Below are 22,137 nucleotides of genomic sequence, written 5' to 3'. Positions count from 1 at the left end.
GTATGTTTCTTAATTTACCCTGCCTCATGGGCCAGAAAGCAAACACGATTATGTACTCAGCAGTAAAAATTGGCGCAAATATATTTATGCATTTGGGTCAGATCATTTTAGATATTCCTTTACCAAAAAAAAAAAAAAAAAGTTTTATCTTGTCCTGTGGTAGTCTGCACCATTCTTTGGCATCACTAGAAACTTGTTTTTTTGCTCTCTCAAAATGAATACGGTATTTTGATTTCATAATATTATCTTTTGGGAAATATTGATTGTTCTGAAAAACCTAGGTCTTTGAATTATAGAGATGACAGGCTGTTCTTTGCATGTAAAAATAATGTAGGAAACGTAACAGTAGATGTAAAAACCTTGGTGGTAGTCAAAGAAGTGCACAGTAAGTTTTGCCCTTTTTAAACCAACAGAAAACTCTTTTCAGTTCTTAAAGATGCAGAGATTGTAGTGGAAAATGTACCAAGCAGGAATGGAAATGGCAAAGTATATGCCAAGACTTTTTTAATGTGCTTGCTGTTTAACCCAGTAATCTCAGTTTGGATTTTAAAAACTCATTAAATTACAGTATCCTGTGCCAAGTGATGTCCTTGGGGCACTGCTCAATGAATTGCCAGCAGAATAGTAGAAAAGAGAGATGAGCATTTATTATGTTGGCAATTTTGTATGACTTACAGCTGACTTTAGATATCTATCAGGGAGGAAAGGAAGTACCACTTACCTTCATAAACTTTATTTCAGTTAATCCTCCCAACAACCCATGTGGTATAATAACCTTCATTTTACAGATGAAGAAACTGAAGCACAAAGAACAGCTGTAACTTGGCTAGTTACTCACAGAATTGGAAGTTCAAACTCGGGTGTCTGTCTGACATTAGTCCTTGTGGCCTTTCTCTCTCTTCCTGCAGAACACATCATCTTACTAGACTGTAAGCGCCCCCTTGGGCACTTACTAGTCCTGTTCTTTCTGTCTTCAGCCTCTCACACAGAACTTGACATACAGAAGGCTCTTAGTATACACTTGTGGCCCAGTCCTTTGTGGTAAATGACTGCACACATCTTAAAGATTGTTGTCCTTTATGGAACTTGAGCAGTTGCATTGTCTCTGTCCCTTGCCCCTCGCAGCACACTTTTCAGTGATTCTTCGGAGGAATTCCTCAGAGGTCTGCAATTTCCCTCAAACAGCCCAGCTGAGATTTTTAGCTGTCATGCCAGTTGTGTCCAGCTACCCATCTGATATCAGAAATCCTGTCTACAGACTTGGATCTGTTTGTAATTATGATTGAGGCTGTCTAACAGTTATTCATTTCTTCAGCAATCTTTTTTTTTTTTTTTTTTTTTTTTTTTTTTTTTTTTTTTTTGAGACTGAGTCTCGCTCTTTCACCCAGGCTGGAGTGCAGTGGTGCAGTCTTGGCTCACTGTAACCTCCATCTCCCAGGTTCAAGCGAGTCTCCTGCCTCAGCCTCTTGAGTAGCTGGGACTACAGGCGCCCACCACCACACCTGGCTAATTTTTGTATTTTTAGTAGAGACAGGGTTTCATCATATTGACCAGGCTGGTCTCAAACTCCTGACCTTGTGATCTGCCCGCTTCGGCCTCCCAAAGTGCTGGGATTACAGGCGTGAGCCTGCACGCCTGGCCCTTCTTCAGCAATCTTTTGTTAAGCTTCCATTCTGCCATGTTCTGGTGTAGGCATCAAAGATGCATGAATGAAAAATTAGATAATTTTTATTTTCTTATATTTAATTCCATACACAGTCATCTGTGTATGCCAGAGTGAACATTTCTGATCCTTTGACTATATAGATGGTGAGTTTTTAGTCAGTTACCATGTTTTTGTTTTGTTTTGTTTGAGACAGGGTCTGGCTCTGTCGCCCAGGCTGGAATGCAGTAGCACGATCTCGGCTTACTGCAACCTCTGCATCCTGGGCCCAAGCCATCCTCCCATCTCAGCCTCCTAAGTAGCTGGGAATGCAGGCACACTTCACCACGCCCAGCTAATTTTGGTATTTTTTTGTAGAGGTAGGGGTTTCGCTGTGTTGCCCAGCTGGTCTCAAGCTCCTGAGCTTAAGTGATCCACCCGCCTCGGCCTCCCAAAGTGCTGGGATTACAGGCATGAGCCACCGCACCTGGCCAGCGTTACCATGCATACCCTAACTCTCTTTGCCTTCTGCTGCAGAGCTCTCCCCTGGGATTTGTGAGGCTGTAACAGTCCTCACTAGGCATTTTGAGAAGTTATATGATGGTTTTATCATGTTGTATCTATTTGCTTTTCTTAGGAATCTGCTGTGGAAGGCAGTGCAGAGTGATGGGAGATCATATAGTTGATGAAGTGAATCAGTGGCACTGCTTAGTGGTTATATGACCTTGGGCAATTTGCTAAAAATAAAATAAGTTCCCTTCCCCCTCCTGATTTTATTCCTGCCAAAACACATTGTTGTGGCCAAAACAACTGTTTATATGCATTCTTAAGGCTTGAATTAACAAGTCTCATCACATCATCCACATTGTTTAGTGGCTAAGATAATGGACTGTGGCATCTGTCTGATGTGAGTCTGAATGCCAACTTTGCCATTTACTTTGTGACCTTGAGAAAAGTATTTAACACATAAAGATTATATGAGGATTCAGTGAGATAACATGCCATGTGTGGCCATTCTGTTAATACTTATTGCTGCTATTACCGTTAGTTTATTGGATGTTGCTGACAATACTGAAATCTGTTGACAAGCAAACCCTCCTGCTACAAACATCAGCACTCTCCTGCCCCCAGAGCAGCCTGGAGGGAAATGGCTTACTCTCCTAACTTCTGATTCCCTCCTGCTAATTTGTGCTATTCTGTTCCCCACTTTTCACTGGCTTTGGCCCAGACCTTTTTTGCTGCCAGTAACATCACTCATAATCACATTGCTGCTCCCACAGAAAGGTCTCTAGCCAGTTTTAGCGGGCTTTTCCTGACTTTGCAAACACCATTGATTAGAATTAGATTGAAAATCAAGGCCAGCAGTTTTCTGAGAAAAACATAAAGGGCTTCTTTGAAAAAGTGGGGAGAAGAGCTTTTGTTGTCAGAAAACTTGAGGTGTTTGGGACACATGGAAATTCTTTGGTTTGAAGGCCCTCATCAGTGTCACCTTTGCAAATTGTTCTTATCAAAGTGATTCAGGAGAAGGCCAAGTATGCATTTAGATTAATGATGCAGGGTTTGTTGGCTTGGCCACCCAAGCAAGGTCTGCACCAGAGGTGATTCATCTCCCCAGCTTACTGTTCTAAAGAGAAATACATTTCTGTGTACACCTGAAAAATTGGCAGCCCATCCTTAGAAGATTTCATTCATAAATTCTTTGCTTTTCATGTATCTGTTAAAACAAAAAAAATTCTTTTACCAACTATTCAAAGTAATGCAGAATTGTGGGAACCAAATTCAGTGTGAATCTCTGAATTTGCTATAACAGTAGTAATATTGTGATAGCAGCTTCCAACTATGGACCATCTAGTATGTTCTAAACACAGTATAAGATGCTTTCATTTCAAAATACCAGTTCCAACAAATCTTTGGCAAACATTTCAGTTAGCCTCAGGCCAGGCGCGGTGGCTCATGCCTGTAATCCGCTCATGCCTCATTTTGGGAGGCTGAGACAGGCAGATCACTTGAGCCCAGGAGTTCGAGACCAGCCTGGGCAACATGGAGAAACCCTATCTCTACAAAAAAAAAAAAAAAAATGCAAAAATTAGCTGGGCATGATGGTGCACACCTGTATTCCCAGCTACTTGGGAGGCTGTGAAGTGGGAGGATCGCTTGAACCTGGGAGGCAGAGGCCGCAGTGAGCCAAGATTGCGCCACTGCACTCCAGCCTGGGCGACAGAGCCAGGCCCTGTCTCAAGAAAAAAAAGTTTTAGCCTCAAAACTCAAGTATAAAGCTTATATGAAGCGACTAAACTATTATCATTTCTATAGTTTTGAATTGTTTGTTTTTTCTAACTAAAAGTATTGTAGTATAAATAAATATCATAAAACAAATTACAACAGAAAGTATAAGAATTATAGTTGACATATTTATTGTAGTAATCTTGAGAAATCAATTTCAAAAGTATAAGCAGCTATGTTCTTCAAAAACCCTGTTCTGTGAATTAACCAGTGTCACATTCTGTTTAAATAATGGGTTGTAAAAAGAAAGAGAACTGCCATTTATGCAGCACTTAGAATGCACCCTGCACTTCATCTTCAAGATGGCCCTACAGGATAGGCATCACTATCTTCATTTCTCACCATGCTGGAAATTCCTAGGAGGTAGGGACCGCATCTTACTCATCTTTGAATTTTCAGTACCTAACACATTGCCTGACGTGTACTTAGTGCTCAGTGAATACTTTTCTAATGAGACTGCATTTTATAGATGAAGCTCAGAGAGGTTAAATCCCATGCTCAGGGTCATGAAGTTTGTAAATAGCTGGACCAGTTTTCCAGCCTTAAAGCCTGTACTCTTTCTACTGTATCATAGGGTTTTTTTTTCCTCAGCTGCCAGATTGTTGTTAGGTCTTTGAAAGTTTCATGAATAACAGTTCTTTGCAGTGGAACTGCTTACCTTGGCCTTACCTTGATACTCCTTGAATTAGTCAGGGGTCTTAGGGTAGAGAGGGCTGTAAGGGATTCCGGGAAGGGAGGAGAAGGAGGAGTACTTGTCATGAAGATAATGCAAGTGTTCTAAGAATTTATATTTGAATCTGAAACTGCCTAAATAATGCATTACATCTTTCAGATGTCTTCAGATGCCCTTATGATTAACACTTACAACGATTATTAAATTTATTGTCACTTTTTTCTCAATCAACCAACACCAACAGTATTTTTAATAGCACACAGAAGTTCATTAAGGTCTGGTGTTTTACTCAAAAGGGTTGGAAATCCAGCTGGCCTCTTTAGAGGTTCCACCTCTTAGGTAGATAATGTGTGTGTGTCCACCTGCTTGATGGGCTGATCATTTTGAACAGGGGGAGAGTCAGACCACATCCTTTTGAGTCCATCTGCAGTAAATGCCCATTCAGGATCTTATTGTATGTGCCTTTTATTAAGCTACTTAACTTGTACTAATCTGTGAAACAGAATAACAGTACCTGTCTTCCATGTTACGAGAATTAAATAAGATGATGCATTTAAAGCTTTGCAGAGCCTGGACCGCAATAAGTGTTCCTTAAACTTAATAGCTGTTGTCATCTCAGTGAGCTGAAGTAGGATCACAGCATCTGGAACCCTGGAGCCAGACTGCCTAGACTTGAATTTCAACCCTGACACTGAATCTCTAGTGAGGATTTTCCATCTAAATAAAATGGGGCTATTAATGAGGCCTAATTCATAAGTGATTGTAAAGATTAAATGAGTTTATTGATTATAAATAATTAGAACAGAATGTAGGGCAGAATTAGTGCTCAATAAATGTCAGCTATTAGTATTACTACTTCTCTAATGTACAACTATCCCCATTTTAAACTGTGGTTTATTGGAATTCTTTTTTTTTTTTTTTTTTTTTTTTTTTTTGAGACTGCATTTCCCTTTGGAGTGCAGTGGCACCATCTTGGCTCCCTGGGCTCAAGCAATTCTCATGTCACAGCCTCCTGAGTAGCTGGGACTACAGGCATGCGCCACCACAGCCAGCTAATTTTTAGTATTTTTAGTAGAGACGGGGTTTCACCATGTTGGCCGGGCTGGTCTCAAATTCATGACTTCAAGTGATCCACCCACCTCGGCTTCCCAAAGTTCTGGGATTACAGACATGAGCTGCCACACCTGGCCGTTGGAATTCTTTTGTATTGCTATTTTCATTACTACTCAGTGTACTTTACAGAGCCCATTTGGGGTACCTCTTCTTTCATAGAAATTTAATTTCTGCCTTTAGGGATTAACAGCAGCTCTGTCACCTTCCATGGCATTTCACTAAAGCAAGAATTGGATGTGTCTCTTCTCCCTTTCCTTTGGATCTTTGGGTCTAAGGTCTGTTGTTTTCTTGCCCCATCCAGAGCGCTGAAGATAACATTCAGCTTCCAGGGCTTTAAAAGAAGCACTGAAAGCACATACAGGAAACAGGAAGAGACCTGCAAAATGGATTGCTCTCTTCTTTGCTATTAATGTATTCAGTAACCTTGTTTCTGTTACTGGCCTTCGGAGCTCTCCTTGGCTGTCCTCTGATTCCACGTCTTTACTCTCATTGTCACTGAAAAGAGAGAATGAGAATATTTTTCTTCGCTCCAACAGATTAGAAAGCAGCACTGTCAGTTGTAAGAGGGCGAACTTTGGAGCCAGTTAAACCCAGGCTCACAAATTTAGAGCTCACAAATTTAGAAAGTGTGACCATTTGGTTAGAGTATGTGCTGTTGGTCCTTAGCATATACAGAGGTCTTAGCATATACGAAGGTATATGCTAAGGGGTAAAAAGGTTTTTTTTACTTTTACTAAGGGGTAAAAAGGCTTTTTTAAAGTCTTGATTTACAAATTTGAAGGTATAAAACCAAGGAACCTGCAGTTTGACATCAGCTGTGATGTTACCTCCTGCCCACATTCCTAATATAAGAAATAATAGAGTTCTTTAAAATGTTTCAGGCCAGGTGCATTGGCTCTCACCTGTAAACCCAGCACTTTGGGAGTTTGAGGCTTAAGTCCAGGACTTGGAGACCAGCCTGGGCTACGTGGCAAAACCCCATCTCTAAAAAAAAAAAAAAAAAACACAAAACTTAGCCAGGTATGGTGGCACATGCCTGTTGTACCAGCTCCTTGGGAGGCTCAGGCAGGAGGATCACTGAAGCCCATGTGGCAGAGGTTGCAATGAGCCGAGATCACACCACCGTACCCCACCCTGGGCGACAGAGTGAGACCCCATCTCAAAAAAAAAAAAAAAAGTTTTACTTTGACCTAATGTTCTGTTGTTAACAGCTGTGACCTTAAGGCTGAGTTAACTTAACCTTTTGGTGCCTTATTTTCCACATCTCTCAAATAGTAATAATAGTGGTACTTAGTTGTAGGGTGGTTATCAGAATTAAGTGAGCAAGTATATGTAAAACATATGGCATGGAGCCCAGCATGAGTAAATGCTGTGTTCTCATCAACATAATGATGCCCTCGCTTTAAAGACTGCCCTTTCTGTGTGAGGCTAATAAAAGCCTCAAGCACATTTTGTCTCAGCCATTCATGAGGTCATGAGTTCAAGAACAGCCTGGCCAACATGGTGAAACCCCGTCTCTACTAAAAATACAGAAAAGTAGCCGGGTGTGGTGGCGCGTGCCTGTAATCCCAGCTACTCGGGAGGCTGAGGCAGGAGAATCGCTTGAACCCAGGAGGCAGAGGTTGCAGTAAGCCAAGATCACACCACTGTACTCCAGTCTGGGCAACAGAGCGAGACTCCGTCTAAAAAAAAGAAAAAAACATATGCCATAGCTCAGATGTTTTACTATCAAATTAATGCATTTTATACAAATATTCCAAGTCTGAAGGTTTTAGTTTTATGTACCCTTGTTGGATAGCATGACGTAAAGTGGCTACTGAAATTAATAGGAAATGTGAATTTAAAAATTCTTCCTGTATTGGCCCAAACTCTATATACTATCAAATAGTAGGTACTTAATACATATTTGCAGAAATGCCTGCGTGGATGACTATCTAGCACATTCATTGGGTGCAGTAACCTCAGCGCCACGTCTTAGCAGGAGCCCCAGTAAGCTCTTTTTTTCTATTTGCATTGTAGCATTGATTGTTTAATGTTGATTTGAGTGGAACATCCTCTCAAAAGTAAGGTAACCGATTCCTTGCTGCAATAAAAAACATTTTCTTGGAGATCTCCATTTTCAAATATTTCTTTCTCACATATACATACATTCTGCCAACTGGAAATGAGTCCCTTTATTAAAATGATTGGGAGATACAGTGATAAATGTTTGACAAAAAAATTAGTAAAATGGTTGGGAGGGTTAAGGGAATTCAGCCATCTACCCTAGAATGAATTACTTCAGTTAGATAATCACTACTTATCTTTTTCCCTGTCTGAAGGATCACACAGGGGATGTGAGAGCTTTAGTTGTGGCCACAGAGTAATAAGTTTGGAATTTGGAACGTGCATCTGGAGGGAAGATGAGGGAACTGGCCATTTAAGGGCAGTAAGAACCAGAAAAGGCAAAACAGTAAAGCTATATTTTGACTGACTTTGTAAGTTTTCCTAGGGCTTGGCTTGACAGGGAAACAGTGTGATAAGTGAGAAGAGATTTGTTCAGAATTCAGCTTTGCCTTTTATTTTTTGTAAAACATAGGTTAGTTTACTTCACCTTCCTGATCCTTGGTTACCTCATTTATGAAATGGGTTTGGGAACAGTACCTAACTCATAGAGTCATTGCAAAAATTAAATAATAGAATTCATATAATGTATCTGGCAGTTTAGGTACTCAGTTTTTCAAAAAATTGTTACCTTTTATCTGTTTGGAAGGCCAAAAGCCAATAGTCTTGATTGCTAAAATTCTGGCGATAAGATCTCTCTGCAGTGGTAAGTGTTCAGCATGTACCTTAATTTCTTACCACGGTTGTAGTTATTGATTGTATGCCAAAAATATATGTCCCTGTAGGGCACAGTAGGTGTCTAAAAAACTATTTATTGAATGAAAACTTTGAAATGACCATAATGGTCTGAGCAGCTCTGTTTTCAGACACTAGCATAGGAAGTGAAGAGAGCTTTGTCATTTTATTTTTACCTCTTTCCACGCGTCAGCCTCATCCTGGCTGGGTCAGGCCTATTTTCCAAGTAATTAATGTTCACTTCTTGTTTGTAAAGCAGAGCAATTCAGTAAGATGATGGGAGGAAATAATTTCATTTCTGGGTACTAATTCCAGTAGCAGCTGTTTTCTGCTAACTGAGAAATATGCCTGTGCTAACAACTTTACACTTCCAGCAAAAACACTGGAACCATGGTGCACACTAAGCTGTCTAAAGACAAATGTGCGGTGTTTATTTTCTTTTAGGAAACACAGAAACATTAATTGGGATTGACTCATTCTGTTTCTGCATGCATTTCTACTTACTTATTTGATGATTTTCCTAGCTAAACAGCCACTTTCTGTTATGTCAGAGGGATATCTTCATCACTTCTCTTCATGAAATGTACCCAGAGCTTCCCTGATTGAAACATTTTCAAAAATCAAAAACTTGAATAGGTTTGCCTTTTGTCTGAGGGTGTGTAGGAGAGGGGTGTGTAAAATGAAGACATCTGTGTATATTGTTAATTGGGAAAAACAGTTTACAAAATAGTATATACAAGTTGAACCAACATATGTCAAAAAAAAAAAAAACAGACATCTCACACACACATCTTGGTAAAATTAAGGTATTAACAGTGATTATTGCTGCATGTGAAAGTGAGATTCCAACAACTAATGTTTGGTTTCTTCTTTGTACTATCTCTGTCTCCTTTTCTTCTATGAATGTGTTTTATTTTAATGAGAAGTGAAACCTATAAAAGGACAAGCCTCAGAGTTTGAAGGAACAGAGTTGTAGAATTGTCAGCTTTGAAAAGTGTCATAACTATATTTAGAGAAGCTCTTGTAGCTTTTGAAAGAGATGCTGCTCAAGACAGCCTTCAGGAACAATGTGTCCCTCCATTCACCATTCAAATTTCTGCACTGAATAATTCACATAGTAGGTAATGATTACTTGTGGAATGATGCATTGAAAGTCTCCTTTTCTAGCTGTCTTAAGCCTCTGGCCACCAGCACCACTACCGTACGTAGCTCTAATTCAGGCCCTCCTCATTTCATTGCTCATCTTCCTTACTCTCTCAGCCTCTCTCTGCCTCCTCTACCTTTCCCACCAACTGCCCCCCCACCACCCCACCGTGAAATAGAGATCTAACTGGCCACTCTGCTTTCTCCAGTAGATTGCCAGAGTCATGGATAGGAATGTGAGTTTCTTAGTATCATATGCAGAGTCTCCCTTCCTGTGTGCTCAGTGTCACCTCCTGCAGCTTGTCCCCTCCTATGCCCCAGGCCTTTGGACCTGCTTATCACACTTCCCAGTTTGTCCATATTCCCTCCTCCAAGTCCTCTCTGAAGGTTGAGGCTGCCTGTGTGGAACCTTGCCTACATCTTTGGTGCACACCCTTGAGCTCAGGTCCCTGGGCTCCCTGGGCCCCCATACGTAATCAAGTCTGTTTCCACAGATGTTTAATGGCATGGACCATGTGTTTCTCAGATGTGCTTGGAATGTGGTAGAGACTTAATAAATATATGATGAATGAGTAAGTAGGAATTTCAAAGTGGCTTCTAAAATTTCTCTTTTCCCCAATTATGAAAGTAAGTACTTAGAGGAGAGTCAGATAACCCAAGAAGATATTAAAATAGAAATTAATCTTTGGAGCTTTTGCTTCATTGACCTCTAACCCTTACTGTAATCAGGAGGAAATGTTCTTGTGTGCTGGGCATCCAGCTGTTATTCTCCGAGCTATATCAGATTACTTTCTTTCCAGGCTGGACTGCAGAGTGACCGCAGAAGAGAAGGAGTGGGGGCTCTGACCCATCCAAACCACTTTCTTACCGGGAGAGCTTAGGAATGTTACTTAACCTTTCTGTGCCTTTATTTCTTCACTTAGTAAAAGAAACTGAAGACTTCCCTCACAGGTAGTACATGAGATAGTATATGACATAAGATGCCTGGAATGTAGTCATTAATTTAGTAAATATTTATTGAGGGCTGGGCACGGTGGTACATGGCTATAATCTCAGCACTTTGAGAGGCTGAGGCAGGAGGATCACTTGAGGCCGGGAGTTTAAGATCAGCCTGGGCAACAAACCAAGATCCCATCTCTACAAAAATTTAAAAAATTAGTCAAGCATGGTGAGGCATGCCTGTAGTCCCAGCTACTTGGGAGGCTGAGGCAGGAGGATGCCTTGAGCCCAGGAGTTCAAGGCTGCAGTGAGCCATGATTGTGCCACTGCATTCCAGCCTGGGCAACAGAGTGAAATCCTGTCTCTAAAAAATACATATTTTTAAAATTAGCCTCGTGTGGTAGCGTGCGCATATAGTGCCAGTTACTGGGAAGGCTAAGGTAGGACAATCACTTCGCCTGGGAGGTCAAGGCTGCCATGAGCCATGATCTTGCTAGTACCCGATGTGTGCCAAGCACATTTTAATGAGAAAAATGTGTGTGTCCTTAGTGAGAAGGAAGACAGGAAGCAAATAAGGAGTGTTAAGAGCCAGAAAGAAAATACAGCAGGGTGTACAAAAATGGAACATCATGGGGAGGTGGTCAGGCCAGGTACCGCCTCCTCTGAGGAGGTGCTGATTGATGAGAGTTCTGCAGGGAGTGAGCAGGGAGCTCTCCGAGGGCCTGCAGGAGTGTGTGAGCAGCAGGAGGGACCAGTGCCCCTCCTCAGCCAAAGGAACAACTCAGAGTGACAGGAGCTGAGTGCGAGAAGGGGCCTGCGATTGGTGCCTGGAGGTCATGGCACAGATGTGTGTTTATTCTGAACAGGATGGGAATCAACAGCAAGGACTCAATAGATACATAGACGTTTCCAGAGTTTCTCCTGTTTTGTTTTCTTTTTTCTCTCCTGTACTTAAACAATATGAAAGCATTTCCTAAACTGTTCCACTGTGGTGTAGCCCAGAGTAAATCATTTAGTTTTACTTTAATTTTAGTCTGCTGAAATCCCAGGAAAGATTATACAGTCTCCAATCAATATACCTATAAATTAGTACTAAATGTCAAGAAAGTGCTTTGAAATTTTGGAAAGTTACACAAACATCTGAAGTTACAATTATTACTGTAGTGATTTCTGTGCTTCAAATGCCTTGGTTTTTGGACTTCTGTGGAACATACCACTCCCCTCTGGTATTCGTGGGCTCAGCCCTGGGTAAGTCAGCTGCTTAGACAGTCAAAACTTATGCGTACTTGGCTCCTCAAAGTCACATTTGGGATGATGGCCATTTGTCAAGTGCCTCACTGGCAGCTCAGTTTGGAGAAGAGCACTATGTTTAGGCAAGATGTGCCTGTGTCAAATGCAGTTCATGTTAATGTAGCAAAAGTCAGTCTAGTAGATTTGGCAAACTTCTAAGAGAATAAACATCATAACGTCATCACCACTGAAGTTGTGGGTCAATCATGGAATGACTTAAACCATATAAATTCCTTATCAGCAAAATACTTTGAAATAGTCCGTGCTTAGAAATGAGAGGTGAGGAGGATGGGAGGAGGGAAAGGAGCAGAAAAGGTAACTATTGGGTACTTGGCCTAATACCTGGATGATAAAATAATACGTACAACAAACCCCTGTGACACATGTTTACCTACATAATAAACATTCACATGTACCCCCAAACCTAAAAGTTTTTTTTTAAAAAAAAAAGAAAGAAAGAAAGAAATGAGAGCTGAGACCTGAGGCCAGCATGGTGCCTCACGCCTATAATCTCACTTGAGGCTGACAGATCACTTGAGCTCAGGAGTTTAAGAGCAGCCTGGGCAACATGGAGAGACTGTCTCCACTAAAAATACCAAAAAAAAATAGTAATAACCAGGTGTGATGGTGTGCATCCATAGTCCCAGCTACTTGGGAGGCTGAGGTGGGAGGATCGCTTGAGCCTAGGAGGTTGAGACTGCAGTGATCTATGATCACCCCAGTGCACTCTAGCCTGGCCGACAAAGCGAGACCCTATCTCAAAAAAAAAAAAACAAAAAGGAGAAAGAAAAAGAAAGAAATGAGAGGTAAATAGTGCTGTTTAACTTGCCTGAATGCAGTTAATACTCAGCTGAGTGTATGGTGTTTTTTTGTTGTTTTTTTTTTTTTAAGATTTGTATCTACTCTTGGTTGTATCTGTTGGTAAGATTGTTCAGAAACACCGGAGAAATCTAGATTTTGGGAGAATTAAAAAATAAAGTTAACCTTCTGTCACATTCAAATGTGAATAGTGTCTAAAAATTACTAAATTTTTCTTTTTCTTTTTTTTTTTGTTTTTTGTTTGTTTGTTTTTTTGAGATGGAGTCTTGCTCTGTCACCCTGTTGCCCAGGCTGGAGTGCAATGGCGTGACTTTGGCTTACAGCAGCCTCCACCTGTCAGGCTCAAGTGATTCTCCTGCCTTAGCCTCCTGAGTAGCTGGGATTACAGGCATGCGCCGTCATGCTTAGCTAAGTTTTGTATTTTCAGTAGAGACAACGGGGTTTCGCCACGTTGGCCAGGCTGGTCTTGAACCCCAGGCCTCAGGTGATCCGCCTGCCTCAGCCTCCCAAAGTGCTGGGATTACAGGCATGAGACACCACGCCTGGTCAGCTTAAAAATTATTAAATTTTTCAAAGGCAGTCCTTCTCTACTTAAGAAACCTGAAACCTCTTATTATGCATAATCAACTTAAGCTTGGGAAGTTCTTCCTTATTTCTGGCCCAAATCTTCTGCAATTGGAGTGTATTTCTTTTCATCTGAGCTAATGGAAAACAGCTGCCCAACCTTCCCAATAACAACCTTCATATACTTGAAGATGGTCATTAAGTCACCCCCTAGCTTTCCCTCCTCTGTACTAAGTAATGCCTCTAACTCATCTTCAGAGTTTCCATTTTCCACCCTTTCAATCATCTCTTCATCTCCCCAAGCTTTTCTGCATCCTTCTTTAAATGTGGTTTCCTAATTGGAACATAATATCGTAGCAAGAGTTGTTCTCACCATTAACTGGGTCACTGCCTTTTCAGGTGGTCATATGCCATTGTCATTTATATGAGAAAGTCAGCAATTTTATCAACATCCAAAAAGATGAGATGTAGAACTAACAGTTCTTTTTACAGTGAGCTAAGCCTGCTTCGTGGCTACAGATTCTGATTTTGGAGTCTGAGGCCTTTAGCAACCCAAACACTTCAGCTGTTTTCTTTTTTTTTTTTTTTTTTGAGACGGAGTTTCACTCTTGTTGCCCAGGCTGGAGTGCAGTGGCGAGATCTCGGCTCAGTGCAACCTCCACCTCCCAAGTTCAAGCGATTCTCCTGCCTCAGCCTCCCGAGTAGCTGGGATTACAGGCACCCGACACCACGCCCGGCTAATTTTGTATTTTTAGTAGAGACAGGGTTTCTCCATGTTGATCAGGCGGGTCTGGAACTCCCGACCTCAGGTGATCCACCCACCTCAGCCTTTCAAAGTGCTGGGATTACAGGCATGAGCCACCTCGTCTGGCTCTTCAGCTGTTTTCTCAGAAAAACTTGCAGGCCCACAAGCTCCTGCCTCCCCTTCTAGGTTTGGTGACAAGTTCTGGAGTACAGGAATCTTCCCAAGCACTGTTTCCTCTTTGGCAAAATTCTCTTGTACTTGACTTCTGGTTCCATTCCTAAATCAAAGGTACATGCATTGAACATGGAATCCCCTGGGGTCTCTCACTTCCTCCCCTAAAGCAGTTCGCTTTGGAATAGATAGATATGGGACAAAGGGCATTGTTTTCTATGTTTAATCTCATTGAAATCATAGAGGGAGAAAGATCTTGAAAAATGGTCCAGAGAGCACAGGAAGATAAATAGAAATTGTTTAATGCCCATTATTTAGAAGGAGAGGTGGCAGTGTGTCATTGAAGGTGTCTTGATTGTATGCCATCTCTGTTGTTTCAGGCTTACTGATGTGACTTGTCTCTAACTCCCTCCCCCTCTCTTTTCCCTGAAAATTTTAATTCCTCAGCTGGAGATGCACCTGGTACTAGGATTTTCAGAACCACAGCTCTCAATCGAAACAGGGATATAGGTCCAATTAAAGAGTTTCATTGCTTATTTCTCCAGGCTTCTCGTGTTCGAGCACAGCCCAGCCTGGGCACTCAAACATTTCATTCCTTGGTCAGCTTCTGCAGGAAGGAGGGATCCTAGTATCAGCCATTGTCCAGCATGTGACCTTGAACATGGGCAGGCAGGAGAGTGTTTTGACCAGTGTGAATACGTGGTGAGACTTCCTAAGTTAGCGTGACTATCTAGATACTATAGGGTCTGTTTTATATGTGTGACCAAGAGATTTGCTGATAAGTTATATGAAATCCTTATCAAATTTTCTCTCTCCCCAGATATTGGGGTTCATTAAGCATTGCCTCACAGGTAGTAATTGTCATTGTACTTCTGAGAGAAGTAATGTAAATTTTGCATCACAACCAAAATTTGTTGAATCCATGGATACCTGGGAGATCAATTTGGGGATGATTGATTACCGGGGTCATTTTGAATGAATAAATGAAATATAGCTCAGCTACATTTCATAGTAAGATACAGCATTAAAAGTGCCAACTGTTGGTGCTTAGTTATGGGTAGGTTCCAGAAAGGTGCATTTCCATGGACCATGCCGACTGTTCATTGGAAGTGAGGTGGATTATTTTTTTATTCTCTTCTGAAAAATCACCAGGATATTTATGCACAGTTTAAAGACATTTAGTAGGACACCTAATTTTTTTTTCCATCTTTAATGAGATTCAGAATTCAACTGGGATAAATAAAACTTTACTAAACTTACCAGCTTATATTTGAGGGCAGAAACCTACAGATCTGTTGTCTTCTTGCAGCAAACTTGGAACAATGCTCAGATGTCTGTTTCTTCTTTGCTGAAAATGTATTTTTGTACCACTGAGCAGGCCTTATGAACAGCATACCTGCCCTACAGGGCACTGAACCTGCAGACAAGAGAGTGGAGCTGCATGTAACTTCTCCATTTTCTCTTTTTTTCCAGTCTAACAGGCAACCAGCCAAGTTGAACCTTCTCACCTGCCAAGTAAAACCTAATGCCGAAGACAAAAAATCTTTTGACCTGATATCACGTGAGTCCTTTTTCTCTCTCTGAGTTGGTTATTGTGGCTTCTGACACCTGCACATTTCCATTCTCCAGGTCAGCAGCTTTTCCAAGCAGGGCTCCTCACAGTTGGCATTGGAACAGTTATTCCTGCATGTGCTGCTCTAGGAAGATGCCCCAGGTCTCTTAATTTCCACTGAGCCCACCTGCAGTTGACAAGGCATAGCAGTGTCAGATCTGACCAGCAATAGAATAGAATCTAGGATTTGTACATTGAACTAAACCAATGCTTGACTGTGAGTACACAGCTTTATCCCCTTGGAGAGATGTTTCTTAGTATATTCCCATTTCTGTCTTAGATCTACTGAATTATAGTTGTTGGTATGAGGCCCAGACATAGTTTAAAAAAAAAAAAAAAGCCACTAGGTGATTGTAATGTGCACCTGTGGTTAAGAAGCACGGATGTAGACTTGGGAATGCAGATGTGCCACTATATCTGTACAACGAATTTGCCCAGAGTTATATCCCTGCAAAATCTAGCTCTTAAAGGAAAAATCATTTCCTTGCTTCCAAGCAGAACTGCCTTCAACCTCTGTGAATTGATGGCACTGCACCCTGTCACTCTTCTACTTCATGGTTCAGAGTTTGCTTTTCTCTTGTGATGAGAGAGCGTAATGAGCTACCCACCCCACAGCCTGTTATAGCCTGTGCCCTCATAGTGTGTAAAGAGTTGGGGGGAGATGTTCCTTTAGGCTGGCTACCTGTGCTTGTACTGATTCCTATGGGTGTGCTTACCGACCCACACTGTAGCTGAGAGGACTCCTCTTTGTAAAGAGAGGATGACAGTGCCATTGAAGTGACTCTCGTGAATATCCTGAAATCCTGCAACACTAATCTTAAGTATCCTTCCTTCTCTATCACAGCCCAGCAAGGCAGACCCACAGCCAAAGTGGATGATCTATGTATAGAAGCACAGAAATATTTTCTTGCCCTTTGAAACCTTTCTGATGCAGTTGTGTGAATAGTCCTGACCCAAAAGATAGAGTCAGTCATGAGGCTCTTTAGGGGTAGTCGAAACTGTATTCTGCAGCATCTGTATGAAGTTTAGATTCCCTGTGATTTTCATGACCAAGAGATTTATTGAGTTATTGATGAGAAAGAAATAGGAAAATTTGGAATTATTTTATGACTTCAAAAAGCCAAAAACCCCTAGTTATGAGAGTCTGTAGGTTATTAATAATAGTTGGCAGTTATAGAGCATCTGTTACATGCCAGGTGCCTTATATACATTAGTGCTAATCCTCATGAAAGCCCTATCAGTTTTCCATTTTACAGAAGAAAAAACTCAGACTCCAAGAGGTTCAGTGACCTACAGAAGGTCACACAGCAATAAAGCAGAGATTCAACCAAAGCTCTCAGGCTCTGCCACCCATGGCATGTTCTTTTTTTTGTTTTGTTTTGTTTTGGGTTTTTTTTGTTTTGTTTTTTGTTTTTGAGGCAGGGTCTCACTCTGTCACCCAGGCTGCAGTGCAGTGGTTCAGTCGCAGCTCACTGCAGCCTCAACCTCCTGGGCTCTAGTGATCCTGCTTCACCCTCCCAAGTAGCTGGGACCACAGGTGCATGCCACCACATCTGGCTGATTTTTAATTTTTTGTCTAGAGGCAGGGTCTCTGTTGCTGAAGCTGGTCTCGAACTCCTAGGCTTAAGCAGTCCTCCTACCTCAACCTCCCAAAGTGTTAGGATTATAGCCATGAGCTGTAACATTAAGCATGGTATGTTCTTTGACATACACATTGTCTCTCTCTCCAAGAGAGATGAAGGGTGTGACTGCCTAGCCTAGAGTAGTCACACAGGAAGTGCTCAGGATATGTTAGTTTGACCTGAATATATTGAGAAAGAGCTTCCCTCATGTACATCCAGCCCAAAGTATCCAAGTTAGGTCACTCCTTCCCACTCCTTCCCTTACATGGATAGCAGAGATTGAGCCTTTCTTCCTGCAACCTGATTCAGCCAGAGAGCAGCCCCAACATCTGGGGCATAGTATGTCTAGTGTTGGGGGTGTTGGGGCTACCCCATGGTTAAGTCTCAGAACAAATAGGGAACAGTAAATGAATCATTTCTGAAAAGGAGATTTCTTTAAAAAAAAAGAAAACACAGTAACAATTGAATTGAAAATGAAACAGAAAATACTGAATTAGCTGGCACTCTCCAGTTTGTCATGGAAATCCATTTGGATCAAATAGGACCTTCCCCTCTCCTCACTGTTTATTCAAAAGCAGTGCCAGATGTATGCATGGTATTTGTGGTTATTTTATTGTATTCTTGTTGCACTTAAGAAGAATAACCTCGACAGAATGAATCATGTAGCTGTTTTATTGCCGTGTGACCTTGTGTAAGTCACTGAACCTCTTGGAGCCTCAGTTTTTTTTTCTGTAAAAATATGAGAAACAGATAGAGCTTTTGTGAAGATTAGCAATAATATACACAAGGCACCTGGCACATAATGGCGTAAAACTAAAATAATATTAAAATTCTACTTTTACTGGTTTTCTTCCCAGGAACTTAAATCTGTGTTGTACCTGAAAGTACCCTGCTTTCTAAGGTTTCACTTATTTTTCTTTTTTTTTATTTTAGATAATAGAACATATCACTTTCAGGCAGAAGATGAGCAGGATTATGTAGCGTAAGTAGTTTTGAAATAAAGGTGCGATGCCTTGGATTGAAAAAGCACCTCTCTGTTTACAATACACATCAACATTTTCTTTTCATTTGTAAGAACCTCGCCTGGTGGCTCCATGCTTCTTTCCCGCCTGTGGGCCATCACATGTTGCTCTTCTCTCTGTCTGTGGTTCTCCCTCTTGTCTACTCAATAAGCTCTGGTACCTCCTGCAAGATTCTGCTCAAGCCTCACCCTCTCTGGGGTTATAGCTCACTACTCCTTGCCCGCGGCCTCTTCATAACCTTCTGTGATCCTGTGGTGCATGTCTGCAGCCCTTTAGAGACCAAGAGCTTTTCGAGGGCAAGGACCGTGCCTTATGCATCTTTTAATCACATCCCTTGCCCTCAGGAGGGGCCTTTGCTCAGTTTTTGGTGGCCAAACATATCAGCCAGCCTACCTGGGCACTTGACCATTATTGTAAGAGGAGCAGGTGAGCCAGGCCCTGAAGGAAGGAAACTGCCATGTGCCTTTCACTGGGGTGAACAGAGTCAATAAAAGGGAGCGTGATATAGTGGAAAGGAACAGGTTGGTATCACATACTCCTGGGTTGGAGTTTTTTGTTTTTTTTTTTGTTTGTTTGTTTGTTTGTTTGTTTTTGAGACGGAGTCTCGCTCTGTCGCCCAGGCCGGACTGCGGACTGCAGTGGCGCAATCTCGGCTCACTGCAAGCTCCGCTTCCCGGGTTCACGCCATTCTCCTGCCTCAGCCTCCCGAGTAGCTGGGACTACAGGCGCCCGCCACCGCGCCCGGCTAATTTTTTGTATTTTTAGTAGAGACGGGGTTTCACCTTGTTAGCCAGGATGGTCTCGATCTCCTGACCTCATGATCCACCCGCCTCGGCCTCCCAAAGTGCTGGGATTACAGGCGTGAGCCACCGCGCCCGGCCCCTGGGTTGGAGTTTTGCACTCACCTGACCAGGTATGCAACCTTAGATAGTCCCTAGTCCCTTTTTTAAAATGCTAGCCCTGGTCCTGAGCTGTCTTTATTCCCTCTTCTTTCCTGTAGCCTGTCTAGACGGAAAAAGGCAGTGTGTGACTATTATAAATCTCAGCTGCTTGGGAGAGGGATGTTTTTGTTAAAATGGGCAATTATTGTTCACTTTTTTTTTTTTTATTTCTAATGAGTACTTGGGGTAATTTGGACCGAGTTTTATAAACTGTCAAACTTCCTGTCCCATCAGTGGCACAGAATACATGCTATGTTCCTCTCTTATTTCTGGAGAGCCACAGAATTCTGCTCATACCCTTTTTGCCTTATACTCACTTCTTTTCTCTCTCCCACTCGCTTACTTTTGTTATTGCTCACACACACAATCTTCTCTGGGGAATTTTACTCTTTTCCCATTTCAAAGGAGAAATGATAAAGGATCAGAAAGAGAAGAGAACATGGGTAGAAAAGATACAGAGGTGGGAGGAACAGGGTGGGGAAAGAAAACTGAGAGAGAAGGTAGAAAGACAAAGGAAAAGGATGAGAAAGGTCTAATTAGCTATTCATTATTTGAATATTTAATGAATGCCAGCTGTATGCCAAGGCTATGCAAAGCCTTGAGAATACAACATTAAATTAGATGGAGCCCCTGCCCTGAAGGAACTGCATCTCTACTGCAGGAGGCTGTTGGTACGACATGGTGCAGGTGCTAAGTGTAAGGACAGAGGAGGCCATGTGCTGGAGGAATAGACTCGGGGCACACACCCTCATGGTTTCCTGGGGTTGTTCCTCAGAGATGACTTCCAAGAGGAAGGTAAGGCTGAGCTGGCTCAGGAACGTAGGGGAAGGTTGTAAATACTCTATACTCCAGGCAGGAGGCTCTGATGGCACAGAAACAGGAGGATGGAATAGGAAGGAAGTGATTGATGACTTGTTGTTATGGGTATAGAGTTGGTAGACTGAAAGGTGACTAGAAGTCAATGAGGAGGAAGTCAGAGGCCTGGCCCTCCACCCACAGGTTCAGAGAGGTACTATTTATAATAAAAATGGGTAATAGTTATTGAGATGTTACGTGCTAAATGCACTTCATGTCTTATTAATCCTCACAACCCCAGAAAGTAGGGACTTTTGTCCCTAGTTTGCAAATGAGGAAACAGAGGCACAATGTGCCCATGGTAACAGTCCTAGTAAGCTAGGATTTGAACCCAGATAGAATTCCACAGTCACCTTGGAATATTGTTTCTCCTTCTCCGATTTCATTCTCTCTTCCTCATTTCCCTTTCTCAAAACCCTAAGTGAAACACAGGTGAGTAATTTGGGTGAGGCAGGGAACACAACCACTTTCTGTTTGTTCCCTTATGACTCAAACTCAGATCTTCAATATTTTATTTACTCTTAGAACTTACAGGTAATTCAGTCCCAGTTTTGTTAAGAGATTGGTGTCCTGCCCGTGAGACTTAACATTTTTCAGTAAAAGAATTACATGGCCCACCCTGAAGTTGCGCATTTTGCACTTTGCAGTTTTGTTTTGTTTCTGAGACAAGGTCTCACTCTGTCACACATGCTGGAGTGCAGTGGCGTGATTATAGCTCACTTGCAGCCTCAGTCCTCAGTCTCCCAGGCTCAGGTGATCCTCCTGTCGCAGCCTTGCAAGTAGCTAGTGCTATAAGCACGCATCACCACGCCCAGCTAATTTTCATTTCTTTTTTTTTTTTTTTTTTTTTTTTTTTCAGTAGCCATGAGGTCTTGCTGTTGTTACCCAGGCTGGCCTCAAACTCCTGAGCTCAAGCCATCCTCCCACCTCGACCCCAGAAAGTGCTGGGATTACAGGCGTGAGCTATAGTGCCCAGCCTGCATTCTCTCTGGGTGCTGGTGGTGAGAGGGGAACTTTGTTTTGAGTGCTGTAGGAGGTAATGGCAGTCCACAAAGAAAGCACATGCCTCAGAGGGAAGCCTTAGTTCTTCACTTACCTCCAGGTTACATAGAGGCAGTTTCACTGCATCATTGAGTTTATTTTTCATATGAAAGTGTTCGATGAAATTGAATGAAAAAATTTCTTCTCACTGAGGAAAGTTCACAAAGAGCAGATGCATGTTAGACTCATTTGGCTTCTTGTCCAGGCTCTGCTGGCTAGTGGCTTTTTTGTTTGTTTGTTTGTTTGTTTGTTTGTTTGTTTGTTTTCAGAGTCTTGCTCTGTCGCCCAGGCTGGAGTGCAGTGGCGCGATCTCGGCTCACTGCAACCTATGCCTCCCGGGTTCAAGCAATTCTGCTGCCTCAGCCTCGCGAGTACCTGGAACTACAGGCGCGTGCCACCACGCCTGGCTAATTTTTTTGTGTTTTTAGTAGAGATGGGGTTTCACCGTGTTAGCCAGGATGGTCTCGATCTCCTGACCTCGTGATTTGCCCGCCTTGGCCTCCCAAAGTGCTGGGCTTACAGGCGTGAGCGTGGCTTTTTTTTTTAAAATGAGATCTATGTTGCCCAGGCTGGACTTGAACTCCTAGGCTAGAGCGATCTTCCCGCTTCAGCCTCCCCAGTAGCTGGGACTACATACGTGCACTATGGTGGTTAGTGGCTTTTTAACCTTAGGCAGATCATCTGGCTTCAGTCTTCTCATCAGTAAGATGGGATTATATACCTCGATTGCAGGATTTTGAGAGGATAAGCTATGTAAAGCCCTTAGCACAGTGCCAAGTTATTTTTTATCTTATAAAACTCAAAGCGACGTTTAAAGTATTAAA

General features: G+C 42.1%; 1 protein-coding gene across 24 annotated transcripts in view, besides 1 other annotated feature; it reads left to right on the top strand.

The window, feature by feature from the left end:
• Positions 1-22,137, top strand: part of ASAP1 (ArfGAP with SH3 domain, ankyrin repeat and PH domain 1) — a 391,571-nt gene that overhangs the window by 290,943 nt on the left and 78,491 nt on the right. For all 24 annotated transcript variants that reach the window (XM_047421810.1, XM_047421806.1, XM_017013468.2 and 21 more), the window contains 2 exons: positions 15,694-15,781; positions 18,388-18,436. In XM_047421810.1, the coding sequence (XP_047277766.1) occupies positions 15,694-15,781; positions 18,388-18,436 (137 nt within the window). The remainder of the gene's footprint in view (positions 1-15,693; positions 15,782-18,387; positions 18,437-22,137) is intronic.
• Positions 9,761-9,870: an enhancer, noted in NCBI's record as "active region_27981". NCBI's record gives its function as "activates an Ori minimal core promoter by ATAC-STARR-seq in GM12878 lymphoblastoid cells {active_cell/tissue: GM12878}" and the evidence as "EXISTENCE:reporter gene assay evidence [ECO:0000049][PMID:35858748]".

This window comes from Homo sapiens, chromosome 8 (genome assembly GCF_000001405.40).
Source record: "Homo sapiens chromosome 8, GRCh38.p14 Primary Assembly".
Taxonomy (NCBI): domain Eukaryota; kingdom Metazoa; phylum Chordata; class Mammalia; order Primates; family Hominidae; genus Homo; species Homo sapiens.
Note: the sequence above shows the minus strand (reverse complement) of the source record. Positions and strands in the feature narration are given on the sequence as shown.